We start from the raw sequence: 22,391 nt of genomic DNA on the forward strand, positions 1-22,391 counted from the left end.
ATAGGGAGTAAATAAGTTTTAATAAAAAGTTGCCATGACTTCTTTGTTATCACTGAATCTAGAAATGTAACTGCTTTACCTGAAATTTCGAACGAGAAAGTTCTTCTATGAAATATAGCAAGTGATAAAAAACTATGAGGCAACTGTTAAGATACTTCAAAGGTGCCAATAAGAGTGCTACAGCCTAGGAATCAATCGTGGATCTGTCCAGTGCATTGATAAGACAGAAATCAGATTACCAAATCATTTTGCAAGTACTTTAATATAAGATGTTGACAAACTTGAGGGAGCTTAGAGAAAAGCTGATTGATTAAGAGGCTGGGAAAATGACTTAAGAGGCAAGATTATAAAAACTAAATATATTGTTCATTGACTAAGGAATTAAGTACTTGATGTACAGTACATATAACATTTTTCAGAGAGTGACTTAGGGGTATATGACACAAATTTCCAAGAATTCAAAATGCATCGCCATGAAGGGAAAGAATTGTTTATGATGCTCCCTGGGGGCATAACTAGAAGTCAGGGCATGAAATTGAATAAGAGAAGAGAATATGTAGGCTCTGTATCTACAAAGTTTTCCCAATAGTAATATCTATTAAATTGTAGAATGGCCTCACAATGGAAGCAGTGGAAAAGCCATCCTGTAAGTTATTTCACACAAGAGTGGACAAAGTATTCAAAGATATACCTCTGGAAAGAAATCTACCCCATTGCTGTGACAGAGAGTATAATGAATGATTCACTTGAGCTTTCCACTTCTGCTTTTAGGAGAGTCATGTGTTTTAAATGAGTATCTGTCTTCCACTGTGAATATATGTGTCATAACTTTGACTTTATGTTTATTCTTTCAATCATGTTTTGCTTTTATTTTTCTAAAAGTCATTTAGTTTTTTTATCTTTCTATTTGCCTGGAATATATTTTATGAAAATCACATTTGTAGTTAATGTTCTGGGCTTGCTATAGGTAATGGCTCTAAGAAAAAGCAATAAAAGCAGTTAGTATTTTAATGCATTTTACAATGTATTTTGAAATGTATACATCCAATCCTAAACTATCAGCCCTTGAAAGCTGATGAGTGAACAGAAACTTTCATATTTATTGCTATAAATCTCATATTAGAAGTCTTCTCTTTTAACCACTCATAAATATGTAATTTCTCCATATTTTATTGAAAACCACTTTTTTTGCTTACGGACATTTATTAATACTAAATTTTCTCTTACATGATAATTTGTGAGAAATGGATTAACAGCAATGTGTATACAGAGAAGAACTATCTGAGATTTTCTGTACATTGAAAAGAGCTACTAATTATTTAGTCTATGTGGTATATATACTTACATCTCATAAAATAAAACACTTAGCAAATTTATTATAGATTTCAAACGATTGCCACAAAACAAGAACCTAGGACATTATGTTGTTTATTCCATCTCACGTATAAGATCCATTTGAACTTAATAAGTTCTCCCACTGTAAAGCCGTTTCTTATTTCACAATTATTATATCAGCGAAGAACACTTCAGTTGTAACATTGACTACATCCTCAGGTACTTTGTTAATTATATCAATTTCAAATTGCCCACTTCGGGAATACTCACCACATGATTACACAGCATAAAGCATCCTTACAGTGAATCCTGAGGGAGGATTATAGAAGAAAATGGTGAAGGGAGGTTTTGGTTTGTGCAAATTTCCCTTAACTTTCTCTTACATTACATAATCCTGACCCTTCCCTCCTTGTTGTTTAAGTCCTAATAGGTCCTGTTGCTCCTAATTCTCTTCAAACCTCTGTCTCTTAAAATGTTCCAGAAAATCACCAGGGTAACTCTGAATGGTAAAATGTGTACAAATCGCTTAGAGGAGGTTTTCTCAAACTCAGCATTATTTACACTTCGGGTTGAATAAGTATTTGCTAGAGTTGGGGATGGGTGGCCTGTGTATTGTAGAATATTCACCAGCATTCCTGTCCTCCGCCCACCAGATGCCAGTAGCACATCCATCCTTACCCCCACATTGTGACAACCAAAACTGTTTCCAGATATTGCCCAATATCTTGGGGGTTGCGGGGTATGCCAAACCACCCCTGGCTGAGAACCACTGCTAGAGCAAGGTGGCACAGGGTAAGAAGAGCTACCTGTCTCATTCTCCTTTTTATTCTTCCTCTTTTTCATCTCCAGCATTCTATGGAGAAGGCAGCTGCAAGAAAGTTGGGCTGGTGTTGGTTGCTGGAAACGTTAGCCAGTCACTATCCTGGCTTCGTGACATTACAGAGTAAGATTTTGAAGCTCAGTTTTGTGAGCTTCAACAAGAAACATAGAGAGGCTGATGCATAGTGTCCCCCAGATGAGACACACTGTTCCTCCTATTGAGAATATATTAATGATAGGTTCACACTTACTTCTCTGAGCTAATGATGGGAGGTGCAAATGTCCATACTGCTAATACTAATAAGAAAAACATTTACCTGGAATTTCACTTTCTAGCAGCACAAACGTGAGTAGAACTCATTTTACAGGCTACAACGTTCTCAACTGCAACATGGGAATATTGTATGGAGAATTCTATAGGTTATTTCCAGTTTTTGTCTGTCTAGTTTCAATGAACTGGCCAATAGCATAAGAAACTTCTCAGAAAGTCCAGTAAAACAGTAATTCATTCATTTCATCAATACATATACTGTGAGTGTCAACTATGTGCAAGGAACTTCACCAGGGTCTAACAATACAGAAATGAGTAATACAGGAACCTTGCTCTTGTGGAATTTTAGGGGTAGACTAACATGTAAACAAGTGAGTGTCAAAAGATGCATAGTATAAGAAGGCATTAATGATATAACGAAGAAGAAAGTGGTCACTTTTTTTTTTTTTTTTTTGAGATGGAGTCTCACTCTGTCACCCAGGCTGCAGTGCAGTGGCACGATCTTGGCTCACTGCAAGCTCCACCTCCCGGGTTCACAACATTTTCCTGCCTCAGCCTCCCAAGTAACTGGGACCACAGGCGCCTGCCACCATGCCCGGCCAATTTTTTTTTTTTTTTGTATTTTTAGTAGAGACGAGGTTTCACCGTGTTAGCCGGGATGGTCTCGATCTCCCGACCTCAAGATCTGCCCGTCTTGGCCTCCCAAAGTGCTGGGAATACAGGCGTGAGAAAAGTGGTCACTTTTAATTGAAGGATTAGAAGAAGCCCCAACTTAAGAGGTAATGCTTGGAGTTTGGAAGGATCAGAAGTAGTTGATAATCCTGCACACCTATGATGTACCAGCCTTTGTGCTAGGATACGTTATTTCCAGTCCTGATAAGGTCTCTGCAATTCATTCTTTATTGAGGTTTAACTATGAGAAAACTCAGGCTTGGATAGCTGAAGGGCCTGGCTGATGGCTCTACGCTGAGTAAGCAGCAGAGGCTGAATTTAAATTCCAGAACCATCATGGAGACTCCTCTAAGCAAAGGAAGTGACATTAATTTGCAGAGCCTATGAACATGCCCCACATAATATTAGAAATATGTTATGCTCAGGGTGTCTGGAGACAGAGTAAAACATGGGCTGGGGTAAGAGAGAGAGCGCTAAGGAGCAGAGAGGAACAAACCACAAAATATCCTGGTGCCATGCTAGTTTTGGGGTTTTATCATAGGGAATAGAGAGTTACTGAAGGGTTTTAAGCAGAAGAATGGCAGCAGTTTGGATGGAGCCTTAGAAATATCTCTTAGGCTGCTGTGGGGAAGAGGAGCTGAATTACAATCCTGCAGGCAGAGAGACAAAGGAGAAGGAGATTCTTGTTTACTGTGTAGAAAAGAAATTATGGTGGTCATATCCAGACCACTAGAAGAAGAAAGAGGAAAAAGGGCTCATAGGGGAAGATATTAAGGAGTTAGAGAGGCAACAAAGGAGTTGCTCATTAATGAAGAAAAAAATCTCAGTACTTCTTCCAATGGGAAGAGAAGAGACAATGCCTATACCTTCATTCCCAAGTTTTCTTCTACTGCCCAAACTTCATCAAGATGGGATGGGGACTAACATTGGTGGAGCATCAAACTCCTGTGAAGCAGCTCTCCCTTCTCCCCATGTGCAGTCACCTCCTATGAAGCAAATTCTGTCCAACCCTAAGAGCTACTCTATAGCACCTTCCTGTACTTCAATCATAGCCCTTGTCCCATCCTTAGCTGTTCACACTTTTATTTATTTATTTATAATTATATTTTAAGTTCTAGGATACATGTGCAGAATGTGCAGGTTTGTTTCATAGGTATACACGTGCCATGGTGGTTTGTTGCACCCATCAACTCATCATCTAGGTTTTAAGCCCCGCGTGCATTAGGTATTTGTCCTAATGCTCTCCCTCCCCTTGCCCCCCACCTCCTCACAGGCCCTGGTGTGTGATGTTCCTCTCCCTATGTCCATGTGTTCTCACTGTTCTCCAACTTATGAATGAGAACTCCCACTTATGAGTGAGAACATGCGGTGTTTGGTTTTCTGTTCTTGTGTTAGTTTGCTGAGAATGATGGTTTCCAGCTTCATCCATGTTGCTGCAAAAGACATGAACACATTAATTTTTATGGCTGCATAGTACTCCATGGTGTATATTTGCCACATTATCTTTATCCAGTCTATCATTGATGGGCATTTGGGTTGGTTCCATGTCTTTTCTATTGTCCATAGTGCTGAAATACACATACATGTGCATGTGTCTTTATAGTAAAATGATTTATAATTCTTTGGGTATATACCCAGTAATGGGATTCCTAGGTCAAGTGGCATTTCTGGTTCTAGACCCTTGAGGAATCGCCACACTGTCTTCCACATTGGTTGAACTAATTTACACTCCCACCAACAGTGGAAAAGCATTCCTATTTCTCCACATCCTCTCCAGCATGTTTCCTGACTTTTTAGCAATCACCATTCTAACTAGCATGAGGTGGTATGTCACTGTGGTTTTGCTTTGCATTTCTCTAATAACCAATGATGATGAGCTTTTTTTCATATGTTTGTTGGCCACATAAATGTCTTCATTTGAGAAGTGTCTGTTCATATCATTGCCCACTTTTTGATGGGGTTGTTTGTTTTTTTCCTTGTAAATTTGTTTAAGTTCCTTGTAGATTCTGGACATTAGACCTTTGTTAGATGGATAAATTGCAAAATTTTTCTCCCATTCTGTAGGTTGCCTGTTCACTCTGATGATAGTTTCTTTTGCTGTGCAGAAGCTCTTTAGTTTAATTAGATCCCATTTGTCAATTTTGGCTTTTGTTGCCATTGCTTTTGGTGTTTTAGTCATGAAGTCTTTGCCCATGCCCATGTCCTGAATGGTATTGCCTAGGTTTTCTTCTAGGTTTTAGGTTTTAGGTTTTAGGTTTATGTTTAAGTCTTTAACCCATCTTGAGTTAATTTTGTATAAGGTATATGGAAGGGGTCCAGTTTCTTTTTTTCTGCATATGACTAGCCACTTTTCCCAGCACCATTTATTAAATAGGGAATCCTTTCCCCATTGCTTGTTTTTGTCAGGTTTGTCGAAGATCAGATTGTTGTAGAGGTGTGGTGTTTTTTCTGGGGCCTCTGTTCTGTTCCGTTGGTCTATATATCTGTTTTAATACCAGTATCATGCTGTTTTGGTTACTCTAGCCTTGTAGTATAGTTTGAAGCCAGGTAGCATGATGCCTCCAGCTTTGTTCTTTTTGCTTAGGATTGTCTTGGCTATATGGGCTCTTTTTTGGTTCCATATGAAATTTAAAGTAGTTTTTTTCTAGTTCTGTGAAGAAAGTCAATGATAGCTTGATGGGAATAGCATTGAAGTTATAAATTGCTTTGGGCATTATGGCCATTTTCATGATATTGACTCTTCCTATCCATGAATATGGAATGTTTTTCCATCTGTTTGTGTCTTCTCTTATTTCCTTAAGCAGTGGTTTGTAGTTGTCCTGGAAGAGGTCCTTCACATCCGTTGTAAGTTGCTATTGTCAATAGTGGCTATTGTCAATAGTAAGTTGTATTCCTAGGTATTTTTTTCTCTTTGTAGCGATTGTGAATGGGAGTTCACTCATGATTTGGCTCTTTGTTTATTATTGGTGTATAGGAATGTTTGTGATTTTTGCACATTGATTTTGTATCCTGAGACTTTGCTGAAGTTGCTTATCAGCTTCAGGAGTTTTTGGGCTGAGACGATGGGGTTTTCTAAATATACAATCATGTCATCTGCAAACAGAGACAATTTGACTTTCTCTCTTCCTATCTGAATACCCTTTATTTCTTTCTCTTGCCTGATTGCCCTGGCCAGAACTTCCAATAGTATGTTGAACAGGAGTGGTAAGAGAGGGCATCCTTGTCTTGTGCCAGTTTTCAAATGGAATGCTTCCAGCTTTTGCCAGTTCAGTACGATATTGGCTATGGGTTTCTCATAAATAGCTCTTATTATTGAGATACGTTCTACTGAATAGTTTATCTCAATAAACTATTAAGATAGTTTATTGAGAGTTTTTAGCATGATGGGCTGAATTTTATCAAAGGCCTTTTCGGCATCTATTGAGAAAATCATGTGGTTTTTTGTCATTGGTTCTGTTTATGTCATGGATTATGTTTATTGATTTGAGTAAGTTGAACCAGCCTTGCATCCCAGGGATGAAGCCAGGAGCTGTATTTTTGAAAAGATTAACAAAATAGATAGACCACTAGTCAGAATAATAAAGAAGAAAAGAGAGAAGAATCAAATAAACAGAATAGAAAATGATAAATGGGATATCACCACTGATCCCACAGAAATACAAACTACCATCAGAGAACACTAAAAACACCTCTACGCAAATAAACTAGAAAAATTTAGAAGAAATGGATAGATTTCTAGACATACACCCTCCTGAGACTAAACCAGGAAGAAGTCAAATCCCTGAATAGACCAATAACAAGTTCTGAAATTGAGGCAGTAATTAATAGCCTACCAACCAAGAAAAAGCCCAGGACCAGATGGATTCACAGTAAAATTCTACCAGAGGTACAAAGAGGAGCTGGTACCATTCCTTCTGAAACTATCCCAAACAATTGAAAAAGAGGGACTCCTCCCTAACTCATTTTATGAGACCAGCATCATCCTGATACCAAAACCTGGCAGAGACACAATAAAAAAAGAAAATTTCAGGCCAATATCCCTGATGAACATCGATGCAAAAATCCTCAATAAAATACTGGCAAACCAAATCCAGCAGTACGTCAAAAAGCTTGTCCACCATGATCAACTGTTCATGCATTTAGTATTGGTTTAACTCTTCTTTAAAAACTGAGCTAGATTCCTTGAATCCCCCCAGTACCAAGCATAAAATAGGTCCCCGTAATTATTTGTTGAATCAGCCACTCGAAATCCCTCTTGACAGTGATAATATATTAGTATAAAAAGATAGATGAAGTAATGCATATGTTTCTTTGTTTTGATTATATTTTGATTAAAACATACCATGTGTGTCTAGGATGACCATTTTTCACCCATAAAAGGAGTGGGGATGGGGGACACTTGCCACTTATTATGTATTTGAGGGTAATGGGATCTAATATGTACAGAGATGCTTTTTCTTTAGAAATATGGTTGCTAAGGCCAGCAGTCCAAATGATAAGATGAGGTTGTTGTCATACAAACTGAAATGTGGTGAGGAACCAGTAAAGTAGAGATTATAGAATTGTTAGAAAAGGGTTAAAGAAGGCTGATATACTGTGTAATAAGTGCTCAGAAAACAAACTTGCACAACCACACAGCACAGGAGAGATTAGGATATGAGATTGCTGCAGCTTCATCATCCGGCTCCATCATCATAAAGAGTATCATTTCCATTGCTAACAGCTGGGAAAACAGGCACCAGTAGTGTCGTTGTTGGTTTCTTTTCTGTGTAAACAAACATTTTTCAATAGCAAAATTGAAGGGATTTTCTCTTAATTTATAATAGGAACAATGATATCTTCAGAATGAAACCCAGTTTGCTGAGGGAAGAAAATGGACAATCGATAGGGATGGTGTTCTTAAGGTTGCAGGGCTGTTTTCTTTTTTTATGAACATTTCAAAACATGAACATTGTCTTTCAAAATGGCCACCTGGGTACTCTTTCTCTCCTAATGTCCCCACACAGAAAATTAACTAACGAAACATGTAAGCTAGAATGCTGTTTGTTTGAAGGGTAGTATGGAATTATGAAAACAAATTAATTAAGATGTCTCTTTTTATGGGACTTAAATATGTTTATATTGATATGCAAGTGTGAATTGAGAGAAACACTCCAGCCTACTGAGTTTTTTTTAATGGAATTAAGAAGCTCCCAGTAGTTTGTTACAATACCTCAAGACCATGTGAGTCACTTACATTTTAGAAAGTGCTTTCCCATATGTGATCTCATTTAATCCTATGGCATGCTTGTAACATACAAAGTGTTTTAGAAATGTTTGTAGATTTGGCAAAATATAGCTGAACTGAAAATTTAATTCTTTTAGAAAGATATACTAACTGTCTTGTACCCCTGTACTAAGTGACGTCATTGTCTTTGAAGTGTTTCCAGTCTAGTGAAAAAACATAAATCCTGTAAAACAGGTACAGTGAGCTCAATGCTATTAAAATGGTAAAATGAGTAGCAAACGTGAACTTGGGGATGGTATTGTCAGAGAAGGGGATGAATCCTGGGGCTCTGCTTCATACATTAAGGATTCATATTAAGAGAAATAATTCTTAACAAGGCAGCACATCAGAATCAGCTCAGGAGCTTTATAAATGGAGCTTTGCAGATGCTTTCCCCATGAGATACTGATTCACTGAGTCAGGCATCAGTTCTGGACATGTATGTTTAAAAGAAAATTCTAATGCAAACCATTGGTCATTTTCCTGGAATTGTGGTACTTTCTTTCTGCAGTCTAAATTATACTCTATAGCTAAAGCCTGAAGTCTTTGGCCAAATTTCTTTCTTTCCTTTAGCTTTAGGTTCTGTTGCTTTTAAAAGCAAATAATTTGGGAAGGATAAGGCTTTAAACTGTTACCAGTCGGTAACTCACTTTGTTCCCTCTACTTAGATTAATGATTCCCCACTCCTTCCTTGGGTCAGCTTTCTTCCTATGTGAATCATTTCCAGATCAGCTTCTCTTTCCCTTGGACAGAATTTATTTTCTCTCTTCTCCCATCCTACAAACCCTCAGTTGTATTTCAGCTATCACTGATCTTACCACAATTGACTCAGGCAACTATCTGGCAGGGAGGTTTCACATTTTATTTGTATCCCTAGGTCTTTCGTTGGGACCTGCCATGGCGATTGAGAGGCAAAGAAATGTTTGTAGAAAGAATGAGTTACATAATTCATTAGAAAATTAGCTTTCAGCCTGGTCTACAAGAAAGATTTGCTAGTTGTTGTGATTTGTGAGGAAATAACTTTTGGGCATTTGGTAAGGATGGAACACAGAGATGGGGTGAGTCAGGTTTGTAGATAATTCTAAGAGAAAACAGGCCACAAAACATAAGATCTGCTTTGCCATTCTGCCTATAGCTGGCTGAGAAATAACCATTCTATTTTTATATTGAAAATAGCATATATACATTTTTTTGTTACACAAGGGATGCTCTTACAAAAGGTTCAGAAGAAAATGGAATCATTTGCAATTGTTTATTCTAACTAATTGTAACTTCAAATCAAAATTAGGCACTGGCCCGCAATCTTAAATTAGAGCTCTGCCTTTATAACACTGATTTTCCTTCATAAATGCTTTCTTAGTTAAGACTTTGTATGCGTATTTATATATTTTTTAACTAATTAAAATCCACTTCCCTATCTAGGTTATCTCCTATGGCTAAATGAAATAATTTTGTATTAGTTATTCATATTTCTTTTTTATCTGTTACAGAGATAGTACAGAGATTAAAATAGTAGGGGTTTTATTGTCTTTTTCTTTAAAAAATCTGTTTTTAGCATTTCAGGAAAAAAGAAAATGCCAGAAAATCATACGGAGTGCTTCTGGCCTTGAATAGCTATGCATTTTAGACACTTGGCTTGTGTTTGAGCCAAAGGAATACATTATGTTTTGCAGAATTCTATGAGAAATGAAGGCCTTTCTGTAGTAGTGACATCAAGAAACTTCAAGTCCAAATTTACTATTAAGGTTGGAATTTTAATGTCAAAGGTATATTTCAGCTATTTTCATGAGTAATTCAAAAGGGACTGACCAAGAAAGGTACATCTAATGTGTCATTGCTGAATACAGCTAGTTACAGTTTTTGGCTTCTTGTCCTGCCAACACTGCCAGGGTTGTGGGTGTCGAACTGGGAAGTGGAATCTCACTGCACTAGGTATTCTCTTACTTTATGGGATTCTCTAGTGTTTTTCTTGTGCCAAGGCCTCTTAAAGGACCTTGAATACTGTTGTGGACTGAATATTTGTGTCCCCCCCAAAATTGATACCTTGAAATTTAAATGCCCAATATCACAGTATGTAGAGGTAGGGCCTTAGGATGTAGGAATGGGATTAGCAACCTTATGAAAGCAACCCCAGAGAGCTTTCATCCTCTTTCCATCATATGTCACGTGAAGCTACAAGAAGAATTTGGCAATCTACAACCCACAAGAGAGCCCTCACCAAAACCCTACCATGCTGGCACCTTGATCTCAGACTCTCAGCCTCCAGTACCATGAGAAATAAATTTCTGTTGCCTATAAGCCACGAAGTCTAAGGTACTTTGTTATAATAGCCTGAATTGACTAAGGAAAATGCTTATTTTGATTCTAACCCTCTGCTATGTTTCGAATGACTGTCCTCTCCAAAACTCATGTTGGAACGTAATCCCCAATGTAACAATATTGAGAGGTGGGGCCTATAAGTGATTAATTCATTTACTGGTTAATGGATTAATGGGTTAATGGATTAATGGGTTAGCATGGGAGTGGGTTAGTTATCATAGAAGTGTGCCTGTTACAAAAAGTCAGGTTGGCTCTTTCTTGCAAACTCCCTTACCGTGTAATGCTCTATGCCATCTTGGGACTCTGCAGAGAATCCATACCAGCAAGAAGGCCTAGAAGACCCTCACCATATACTGCCCCTAGACCTTGGAGTTTCCTGGCCTCCAAAACTGTAAGAAATAAATTTCTTTTTTAAAAAAATTACCCAGTCTCAAGTACTCATTTATAGCAATAGAAAAGGGACTAAGACACCCTCCGAAGACATTTAATGGTAATAGTAATAATAACAGCTGTATCTGTTGTACACAGACTGTGTACCAAACCCGTATATTTTAAAGATAATCTTCAAGCAGCTTTATAATGCAGATGAATCCTTCCCATTTTACAAATGATGAAACAGCAGCTTAGACAGTTTAATTGACACTCTAGATCTCATAGATAATACACAGATTTGAATTTGAGTGTTTCTGATTCATATATCCTGTACTCTTTACATAAAAGCTAAAAAACAAAAAAATCAAATGAATGGTTTTGGAGTGTTTGAAAACCTGGAAAGCTCTTGAGGCCTTAGTTAATATCTGCTAGAATGAGACTATCTGGATTCCAGAGACCTGTGACAATTATTAAGAAGCCCTAAGTCTTTTAAGGCTGCTGCTGCTGTCCATGAGGAAGGCCAGCTCAGCAGTCTCATCAACAGAAGACCCAAATCTTGCCTGCTATGGTGTTACAGTTACACAGTCTCATGTAAGGTCAGGCTAGTATTGGTGCAACTATATGCCTCTTAGAGTTTAAAATGTTGCAGAGACTGACTTCAGAATCAGAATACCTGGTTATATGCTTCATTTCTATTCCACAGTTTCCCTAACATTTGACCCTTACAATTCCCCTCCAACCTTGATCCTACTCTGAACCCAATCCTCACCCCCATTCCTCCAATGCCCAGTAGGCCCTGGAACAAAGCAGCTAAGGGCCCTTGGTATGCTGGTATGATTGCAACATCGGAGTAGGAGACAGCAAGTCTTTCAGATTACTATAGACATAAATGATGGTCTCTTTATATACTGTCACTTAATATGTCATTGGGGATAGATTTTTTTGCTTTTACTCCAAAATATCAGACACATCTTAGGTATTCAATGAATGCTTGTTGGTTCAGCCCAGTTAAATATTTTGAGGCCTGCTGAGCGCAATGCACAGTAATAGACGCTGCAGGTGTGAGCCACTCCCTACCTACAAGGAGCTTTTGCTCTAGTAGAGATAGTGAGGCATGTATGTGGGTTTTTATGGATTAAAAAGACTGGAAAGAAATGTACTTTGAAAAGCAGCACAAGACAAGGATGCCCTCTCTCATCACTCCGATTCAATATAGTATTGAAATTCTGGCCAGGGCAATCAGGAAAGAGAAAGAAATAAAGGGCATCCGAATAGGAAGAGAGAAAGTCAGATTATCCCTGTTTGCAGATAACATGATCCTATATCTAGAAAACCCCATCATCTCAGCCCAAAAGCTTTTTACATTGATAAACACCTTCAAGAAAGTCTCAAGACACAAAATCAATGTGCAAAAATCACTAGCATTCTTAGACACCAACAACAGGCAAGCTGAGAGCCAAATCAGGAACAAATTCCCATTCACAATTGCCACAAAAAGAATAAAACATACTTAGCAATACAACTAAGTGGGAAGGTGAAAGATCCCTACAAGGAGAACTACAAACTCTGCTCAAAGAAATTAGAGATGACACAAACAAATGGAAAAACATTCCATGCTCATGGATAGAGAGAAGCAGTATCATGAAAATGGCCATACTGCCCAAAGAAATTTATAGATTCAATGCTATTCCCATTAAATTACCACTGACATTCTTCACAGAATTAGAAAAAAACTATTTTAAAATTCACGTGGAATCAAAAAAGACCCCAAACAGCCAAGACAATCCTAAGCAAAAATGACAAAGCTGGAGGCATCACACAACCTGACTTCAAACTATACTTACAGGGTTACAGTAACCAAAACAGTGTGGCACTGGTACAAAAACAGATACCTAGACCAATGGAATAGAATAGAGAACCACAAAATAAGACCACTCACCTACAACTATCTGATCTTTGACAAACCTGACAAAAATAGGCAATGGGGAAAGGATTCTCTATTCAGTAAATGGTGCTGTGAGAACTGGCTAGCCATATGCAGAAGATTGAAACTGGACCTCTTTCTTACACCATATACAAAAATTAACTCACGATGGATTAATGACTAAAATATAAAACTTAAAACTAAAAAAATCCTGAAGACAACTTAGGCAATACCATTCAGGACATGGGCATGGGCAAAGATTTCATGATAAATATGCCAAAAACAACTGCAACAAATGCAAACATTGGCAAATGGGATTTAATAAAACTAAAGAGCTTCTGCACAGCAAAAGAAACTATCAGCAGAGTAAACAGACAACCTACAGAATGGGAGAAAATTTTTGCAAACTATGCATCTGACAAAAGTCTAATATCCAGACTCTATAAGGAACTTAGATAAATTTACAAGAAAAAAATAACCCCATAAAAAAGTGGGCAAAGGACGTGAACAGACACTTTTCAAAAGAAGACATACATGTGGCCGACAATCACATGAAAAAACCGATCATTAGAGAGATGCAAATTAAAGCCACAATGAGATACCATCTTACACCAGTCAGAATGGTTATTAGTAAAAAGTAAAAAAATAACAGATGCTGGCAAGGTCGTGGAGAAAAACGAATGCTTATACACTGTCGGTGGAAGTGTAAATCAGTTCAGCCATGGCAGAAGACAGTGTGGTGACTCCTCAATGGCCTAAAGACAGAAATATTAATCCCACTCAACTCAGCAATCCATTATTGGGTATATACCCAAAGGAATATAAATCATTCTATTATAAAGACATATGCATGCATATGTTCATTGCAGCACTATTTACAATAGCAAATACACGGAATCAAGACATATGGTCATCAATGTTAGATTGGATAAACAAAATGTGGTATATATACACTATGGAATACAATGCAGCCATAAAAAAGAATGACACCACATCCTTTGCAGGGACATGGATGGACCTGGAGGCCATTATCCTCAGCAAACTAATGCAGGATCAGAAAACCAAATACAGCATGTTCTCACTTGAAAGTGGGAACTAAATGATGAGAATACATGGACACATACAGGGGAACAAGACACACTGGGGCCTTTCAAAGGGTGGAGTGGTGGAGAAGGGAGAGGATAAGGAAAAATAACTAATGGGTACTAGGCTTAATACCTGGGTGATTAAATAATCTGTACAACAAACCCCCATGACACAATTTTGCCTATGTAACAAACCTGCACATGTGCCCCTGAACATAAAAGTTAAAAAAAAGAAATGTGCCAAAATATTCATAGTAGTTGTGTTTAAGTGATGGGACCTATGGGTGTTTACTTTTTGTTTACATTTCTACATAAATCAAATACATGTTGTATAGATGTACTTTATTCCTTGAATAGCCATAATGTTGATTTAAAAAAACAGTAACTTGAGTACTTGATGGAGAGGAAGTTCATGTGGCTGAGGTGCTAAAAACTAGTTAAATATATTAAATAATTATATTTAATATATTTATATTTATTTAATATATAATATATTAATTTATTTAATATATAATACATTAATTTATCTAATATAGTTATATTTATTTACTATATAATATATTAATTTATTTAATATATTTATATTTATTTAATATATAACATATTAATTTATTTAATATAGTTATATTTATTTAATATATAACATATTAATTTAATATGTTATATTTATGTAATATATATTAATTTATTTGATATAGTTATATTTGTTTAATATATATTAATTTATTTAATAGTTATATTTATTTAATATATTATATATTAATTTATTTAATATATAATATATTAATTTATTTAATATATAATATATTAATTTATTTAATATATAATATATTAATTTATTTAATATATAATATATATTAATACACACACATATTTTTTGAGACAAGGTCTTGCCTTATCACCAAGGCTGCAGTCCAGTGGTGAAATCATAGCTCATTGTAACCTCAAACTTGGGCTCAAGTGATCCTCTTACCTCAGCTGCCCAAGTAGCTGGGACTACAGGCGTGCACCACCATGCCTAAATTATTGTCAAGTTTTTTGAAGAGATGGGGGTCTCACTATATATGACTAGTTGGTCTTGAACTCCTGGCCTCAAGTAATCCTCCTGCATCAGCCTCCCAAAGTGCTGGGATTACAGGTGTGAGCTACTGTGCCTGCCCAAGGGCTAGTGATATTTTTGACACGAATATGACTTTGACAGGGAGAAGAGGGCTTGAATTCTTAAGGAAATATACATGAGAAATGTAACAGCCAGGAATGAGAGATGAGGAATCCTGAGGTGACTAGGTTATCAGGGAATAGTTCTGTTTGTCTGGACTAAAGAATATGTGTAAGGAAAAGGGAGAATTGAAACTAGAATGTTAGGCTGTGGTCAGAACATGGAAGACTCTCAGTATCAGAGTGAAGTATCTGGACATATTTCCGTAGAAAACTGGGGGTCAGTCACAATTTTTCAACTGGAAAATATGATCACAGCTCTACATTAGCAGGTAGCCAGGTGCAGCACAGATTGGAGATGGGGGAGACAGGAGGGAGGGAGACCAATCAGGAAGTGATTAGCCGGGCCCAGCCAAGAAGCAATGATTACTTGATTATTTATTCATGTATCTCTCTTTCACAGAGGTGGCTCCATGACTTTTCAATTTTTCTTTTTAATGTTTTGCCTGTCTGGCTCCAATTTTCAATTGCAAAATAAGAAAAGATTCACTTTGAATCCGTAGCTCAATTTGCTCTCAGGTGAAAGGCACAATCTTGAGTGGAGGTTAGCCTTAATCTGTCACATTTCCACTGATAAAGGGAACATTTAGGACAGTTGTTTTCAAGGCTGGATGAGTCCTGTCTCTTTGATTGATTTCTAATTCCTTCATTCACCTAGGAGAGGAGACGGGTCTCTGAAGTTCATGGGATCTTTAACTTCCCAGTTAGAATGGCTGAATCTTACAGCAAATAGAGCAGGTCAGCTAGGTCTCCTTAGAGCCAGAGTGAGTACAAGAGTAGAACAGAGTTCCAAAGGACCGTTACCAAAGATACCTGATTGAAAAACTTAAAACATAAAACTCACTGTGGGCTCCCACCCTTTATGGGCACACAGCCCCTTGCTCTTTTGTAGGGGGGAACTCTTCTTTCCATATTACTGCCCCAGCCCACAGATATGGAGACATCAACAAGTATTTTTCCTTTCATCACTTGGAAAGCGCCTTTGCAAAGATTATAACTGAGAAAATTATGATGGTGAAAGAGATCTGACCTAACCGACTCCATCTTGCTTTTAACCTCCAAGCTGTCCTGATTCATTCCTGAGTGTAGGCCAAACTAACTTTGGGAGGAGCTTAGTTTTTAGTTTAACTAGGAAACAAAGACGGTAACAGCTCTTTCTCAAAACAAACCCCCTTCCTGACTGGGGACTAAACTGTCTTTACAGGACTAAGAAATTAGCCACAAGATTAGAAATTATGGTTTAGGAGTCATGCAGCTGGAGGCTGCAAGATTCTCAACCTCCCAAATTGCTCCTCGGGATAACATCACTATTCTAAAATCTAAGATCAGTGCTTAAGATATTTTGCAGAACCTGCACTGGATGGATCAGCTGGCACCACTCAGATCAATAAACTGGTTCATCTGGCCTCGTGGTCCGCAACCAGGAACTGACTGAGCACAAGAGGAGAGCTTCAACTCCCTATAATTTCATCTCCATCCTGACCAATCAGCACTCCCCACTTTCCAACCCCCCCCCACCCCAAACAAATTATCCTTAAAAACTCCAATCCTTGAGTTTTTGCAGAGACTGATTTGAGTAATAATAAATCTCTGGTCTTCCATACAGCTGGCTCTGTGTGAATTAAGCTCTTTCTCTATTACAATTCCCCTGTCTTAATAAATTGGCTCTGTCAAAGCAGCGGGTAAGGTGAACCCGTCAGCTGGTTAAAACTTCTTCCATCCTCCTTCCTTTCCCACCCCATTTCTCTTTTGGGTTGCTGCTTCTAGGATCAATCACCGGGAAAGGTCTAGGCTCTCCTCTTCTTCCTGAGTCCACCTGCTAAGCACAATGTACCTCCTTGCTGGCTATCCCACCTAATTGTGACTGTTTATGACCATTTGTAACCAGACTTGTGATCTTCCATGCAGTAGGAAGACTGTGTAAGTGTACCCATGTTTGTTTATCAACCTTGAGCCCTCCCAAGCATCCTTGAGTCTGAATTTGCATCATAGTTGTTGTACACTTACCCTGTGGCTTTTCATTCCACCCAAGTTCTCCATTCTAGTTTTACTAGAAAGACTTAAGCTTTAGTATTTCTTGGACTCACATTAATGAAACTGCTACTTTTGAGTCCTTTTGGCTTCTTGTATCTTTTGCCTAGTAGCTAAAATAAAGAAAGGCTAGTAAGTGATTAGCACCATTAACCTGCAACACTCTGAATTAACTCATCAGGATACTCTGAAATGCCTGCTTTTTCAGGCCTTTATGCAGGCAACGCCCTCTTCCCGGGATGCTGTTGCCTCCCTGACACAGCCCAGCAATTCGCTCCTTTGTGAGGTTAAATGCCTGTCTTTCTTGTGTGCCCCAAATACTCCATGCACATTTTATCACTGCAATTCTCCCTGCCTTATAATTGTGTACCTTTCTCTCCCTCAGGACTATCATTTTCTTATTATCCACAGTAAGTCTTCAGACATATTTGTTGAATTTATAAGTGAACGATAGGTGGAGACATTTTTTTAATACCAAGGTTTCACTTCATCACTAAGTAACACTGCTTTGTTTTTGACATATCTTAAATATGCAAGCCATTTTCTAAAATAGCTTGAATAGCTTTTTCCTACTTCGTTTTCCTCATTTTCTTAATCTATCAAAATATTAGTACACCAAAGACCACAGATATACAGGAAAGGTTATATGCATATAAAGAGGCACATTTATCTAAAAATCACTACATTTTTTCTGGTTTTCAAGGATAAAAGTTTACTTGTTGCATGCCCATATAATTAGATACTAGATAAACAGGATACTGAACTTTCCAAGTGTCATTACACAGCATCCCTCTCAAGCTGGAAATGTGTTTACTCAGCACATCGGGGAGTCATCTGCTCATATGATCAGCAACCAGGGTTTATGAAGAAAATTACAGCAGTAAAGTATTATTTCAAACACTGCTTGTGTCAGGACTAGTCAACATGCAAAACATTCTCAAAGTCAGATAACACACAAAGGCAGCAAGTGTGGGGTACTTAACCGCGCCCGTGGATACAGAGGATGTTATGGATGAGATTCAGGGGCCTCCCTGCAACTTTACGCACAACTTCGGATATATTTACTTTTCTGTGGAGTGGGTCCACAGCTTTCATATCTCAGGGATAGCAGCACATATGTATGAGCTCTGTGACCACAGGCATGCTCCTAACCTCTGTGTTTTCACTGACTCATTTGTAAAGTTACCTAACCTGTGTTTATTGAATCACTTGTAAAATAACAGGATTAGCATAAGCATTAGATCTCTAAGATAATGCAGCTTTAAATTCTATATTTTCCCTAATCCATGCTTCATGGAGATGCATTCATGCAAGACTTAGTAGTAACGGAATATTTACGACATGTCAGGCATTGTATTAAATACTTCACATACAATGCCTCATATGTGAAATCCTCAAAGTAATCAAAAAAGGTTAGATACTATTATTCATCTTATTATTATTATTTTAGTATATTTAACATATTATTATCATCATCAGGACTGTCCCACCAAATTATAATTTCTATAAGGGCAGGAACCTTGTCTGTTTTATCATATTCTTCCCTGTCCTATGAACTCTATCAAAGTTCTCATATGTACTGTATTTAGGTTTTAGGAATACAATTTGATTAACATAACCTTCCCAAAGAGAACACTAGTTCATCAAAATGATCTCTGTAATTGGTGAAATTTTAGAATATTTGTGAAATAGTGAATAAGAACACCTATATAACCCTGCCTATAATATCCTGCAACAGCAAGAATCTGTTCTTAAAGAATGTGTGCTTCAACCAGTATCCATGGAAGTGCCTTCATTTTCTCTGCGGCCTAGGCTTTCCAGCCCAGGACAGCAGCATTCACCCAGGGGTTCTGGTACATACATTTGTCCCTCTTGCTCTGCTATCCTCCTGACCACATCCCTGGCTTGCTTTGTGTCCAGACAGACAGATCCTAATTGCAGTACATAATGAAAACTTTAATAGAGTTCATGGGACAGTGAAGAATGAAATTTAATATAATCCTGAAGCAAAGGAAAATTTGACAAAGGATATGGCTGGGTCCATAAGCAAATGGTAATGGGTGAGGGGAATAAAGGGAAAATTGGGCTCTTCAGGGTTGGGAAGCAGAAGAGGAACAGGTAGGCAAGAAGGAATGGGAGGACACAGAAAGTGAGGTGAAATGAAGTCCCATTATAATATTGTTTGGCTCTTTCTAGTCATGCATGTGTTTCAATGCATTTTTGAACAGACTTTTTATTGAGCACCTTTTATGTGCCATGCACTATGATAAAACATACAAGTTTCCTTCCCCATAGAAATTATAATTTGGTAGGACAGTTCTGATGATGATAATAATGATTAATATACTATAGAATAATAATAATAAAAAGATAAATAATAGTATCTAACCCTTTGGATTATCTTTGTTTAGTGTCTTATTGATACTTTTGTAGCATCTCACCTTAGCTAACCCTCTGGTTTTAGCTACCTTATCCCATCTAAGTGCTGAAAGACTTGAGAGATATCCTCAGTAGGATGGTCTGAGATAAAGATAAGAAACCTTCCTCATCTTTGACTGAGAGAGGAGTGACCTACTGGGTTGCTTCCCTCTCTTGTCTTTGCTTCCTTTCAGCAGCCTGAATGCTAAGGCACCAAGAAAATCATCACTCCAAGGGAAAGGTGCCTTCTCTTTTCTATTTTAGGGTCTTAGCAATTGCTCTCCTTTTGCTTAGTGCACTCTTCTTCCATAGCTTTGCGTCATTGCTTCCTAATATTTCAGGTCTCCATTGAAATTTTACATCCACAGATCATCCTTGACTCCCTAGCTGGAATGGGCTCCATACTAGTCACTCTCCAACACACTATTTTCTTTTATCTGCCTTTATTGAGGTTTGAATGTTTCTATGTATGCATGTACTTCGCTGCTTACATGCTTATGATCTATTTCCTCCCACTGCTATGAGTATTCCTGACAGCAGAGGTTCTGCCTGTCTTCCTCACTGCTGTATCTCCAGGGCACTGGACATGCCTTGTCTGGCTTACAGTAGGCATTTATGAAACTATATTGCAGCTCTTGCAGCTCTGAAATCTCCAGTGGGATATATTTGAGGGAAAGAAACTGAGGTAAACAGAATCTGCTGTAGGGATTACTGTCCTCACTCTGACAGTCCTTGGCTATATATATATAGTCCTGGCTGAAGTGCCTAAAATACCATGGGTGTTCCGAATAGTCAATTCCGAAGGTCAATGGTCCTTTACTCTCTAGCTTTGTTTAAGAATTCAGCTTAGGGCCAGGCGCGGTGGTTCACACCTGTAATCCTAGCACTTTGGGAGGCTGAGGCGGGCGGATCAAGAGGTCAGGAGGTCGAGACCATCCTGGCTAACATGGTGAAACCCCGTCTCTACTAAAAATACAAAAAATTAGCCGAGCATGGTGGCGGGTGCCTGTAGTCCCAGCTACTCAGGAGGCTGAGGCAGGAGAATGGCAGGAACCCAGGAGACGGAGCTTGCAGTGAGCCGAGATTGCACCACTGCACTCCAGCCTAGGCGACAGAAAGAGACTCCAACTCAAAAAAGAAAAAAAAAAAAATTCAGCTTAGGAGGATGATGCTCACCTTTATTTTGCTGTTGATAATATTGCTTTTGTTTTACCAACTGGTAAATTTTAGGTGAGCATAATTAGAGTCTGCAAAAGTTATTATAATTGATAATCTTATCTTTTTCAACCCCTGGGCTGTTCTCCTCCTCTCTTCCTTCTCCTCCTCCCTTCTCCATCTTCTTCCTTTTCTTCTTTTTCTATTTTAAATAATCATTTTTATGTAAAACCATTCTTCATTTGAGTTTTATTCCCAATGGAAATAACGGCATCACTTTAATTAACTACAGAGATATACACAGCTAAGCAACTGATATGACAAAATAGGTTTTTTATTTTAGAAAGTGTTATAATGGGTATTAGCAAATTTCAATGTATAAAATAAAGTAGATTTTATTAATAAAAGAAGAAAGTTTTTGAGTAGCTTTCCAAGCTTTCAAATGACTTGACTTTTTATTTTTGAATTTTAAAAAATGTACCTCACATTAACACAGACACACACGCAAGTGGGCTATTTATACAGGATTGTCTGTTACCTGATATATTAATAATATGGCCAGTGATAATAATAACAATAATAGCCTCAGACAGTTGAGTAATTAATAAGTTCCAGGCAAAGTGGTTTATAAAAGTTATCTAATTTAATCCTCAAAACAACCTAATGTCATGCAGTATTATCACCATTTTACAGACGATGAAACTGAGCCATTAGTCAGTATGCAGCAGAGCTGAAATTCATACCCTTGTTTGTTCAGTTCTCTGTACACCATCTACCGGGGGGAGCCTTGTAATTGAATACCTTTCCAATAATCTACTCAGTAGTCTTCTCAGAAAGATTCCTAACCATCCAACCATTCATTTGTTCTCCAGCAAAGTAGATTTGTGGCAGGAGATCCTAATTTATTTAGATAATCATATCTCGCTACCAAATATTTGACAACATTATCCATTCTGCTTAATTATGCTTTCTGAAGGTATCTGTTATCTTTAATGGGGTAGAATCAGAAAAGAAGGCTGAACAGGAGAGCAATAAAATGAAATGAGGCAAATTTTATGAATCATATTTTCCCAAGAAAGGGTCATTTCAACAAACACACGGTCTAGCCATGTATAAGGCACTGTATAGAATTATGCATAGGAATGAGATACACATCCCAACTTCAACAAGCAGATAAGCGTGTATCTGGAGGAGACAGATATATACATAATTTGTGATGGTAAAAGGTAGAATTATTGTCATCATTTATTGAACACTTAATACATCCTATGCATTGTGCTAAGTAATTATCATTTTAAAATTTTATACCAATTCCAATTATTACTCCCATTTAAAAGATGTAAAAGCAAAGGATAAGAAAGCTGTTTAATATTGCACCATTCCTAATGGGTGAATCCTGCCTTCAATCTAAGGTATGCTTTATGGTAAGGCACTGGTCCCATATGGCTATGCTGCCATGCCCTGGGTGGGCACTGTGACAGGTGCTAAAAGAAGGTAGAAGGTTGA

General features: G+C 37.7%; 1 protein-coding gene across 2 annotated transcripts in view, besides 1 other annotated feature; it reads right to left on the reverse strand.

Annotated features, from left to right (window-relative positions):
- The window catches only part of PDGFD (platelet derived growth factor D), a 256,959-nt gene that overhangs the window by 63,089 nt on the left and 171,479 nt on the right, over positions 1-22,391 (reverse strand). The window lies entirely within an intron of this gene.
- Positions 13,880-14,073: a silencer, noted in NCBI's record as "fragment chr11:103854885-103855078 (GRCh37/hg19 assembly coordinates)". NCBI's record gives its function as "represses an EF-1alpha promoter that drives an FKBP-Casp9 reporter gene in an ReSE screen in phorbol 12-myristate 13-acetate-treated (for megakaryocytic differentiation) K562 erythroleukemia cells {active_cell/tissue: K562(+PMA)}" and the evidence as "EXISTENCE:reporter gene assay evidence [ECO:0000049][PMID:32094911]".

The sequence above is a fragment of the Homo sapiens genome, chromosome 11, assembly GCF_000001405.40.
Source record: "Homo sapiens chromosome 11, GRCh38.p14 Primary Assembly".
NCBI lineage: Eukaryota > Metazoa > Chordata > Mammalia > Primates > Hominidae > Homo > Homo sapiens.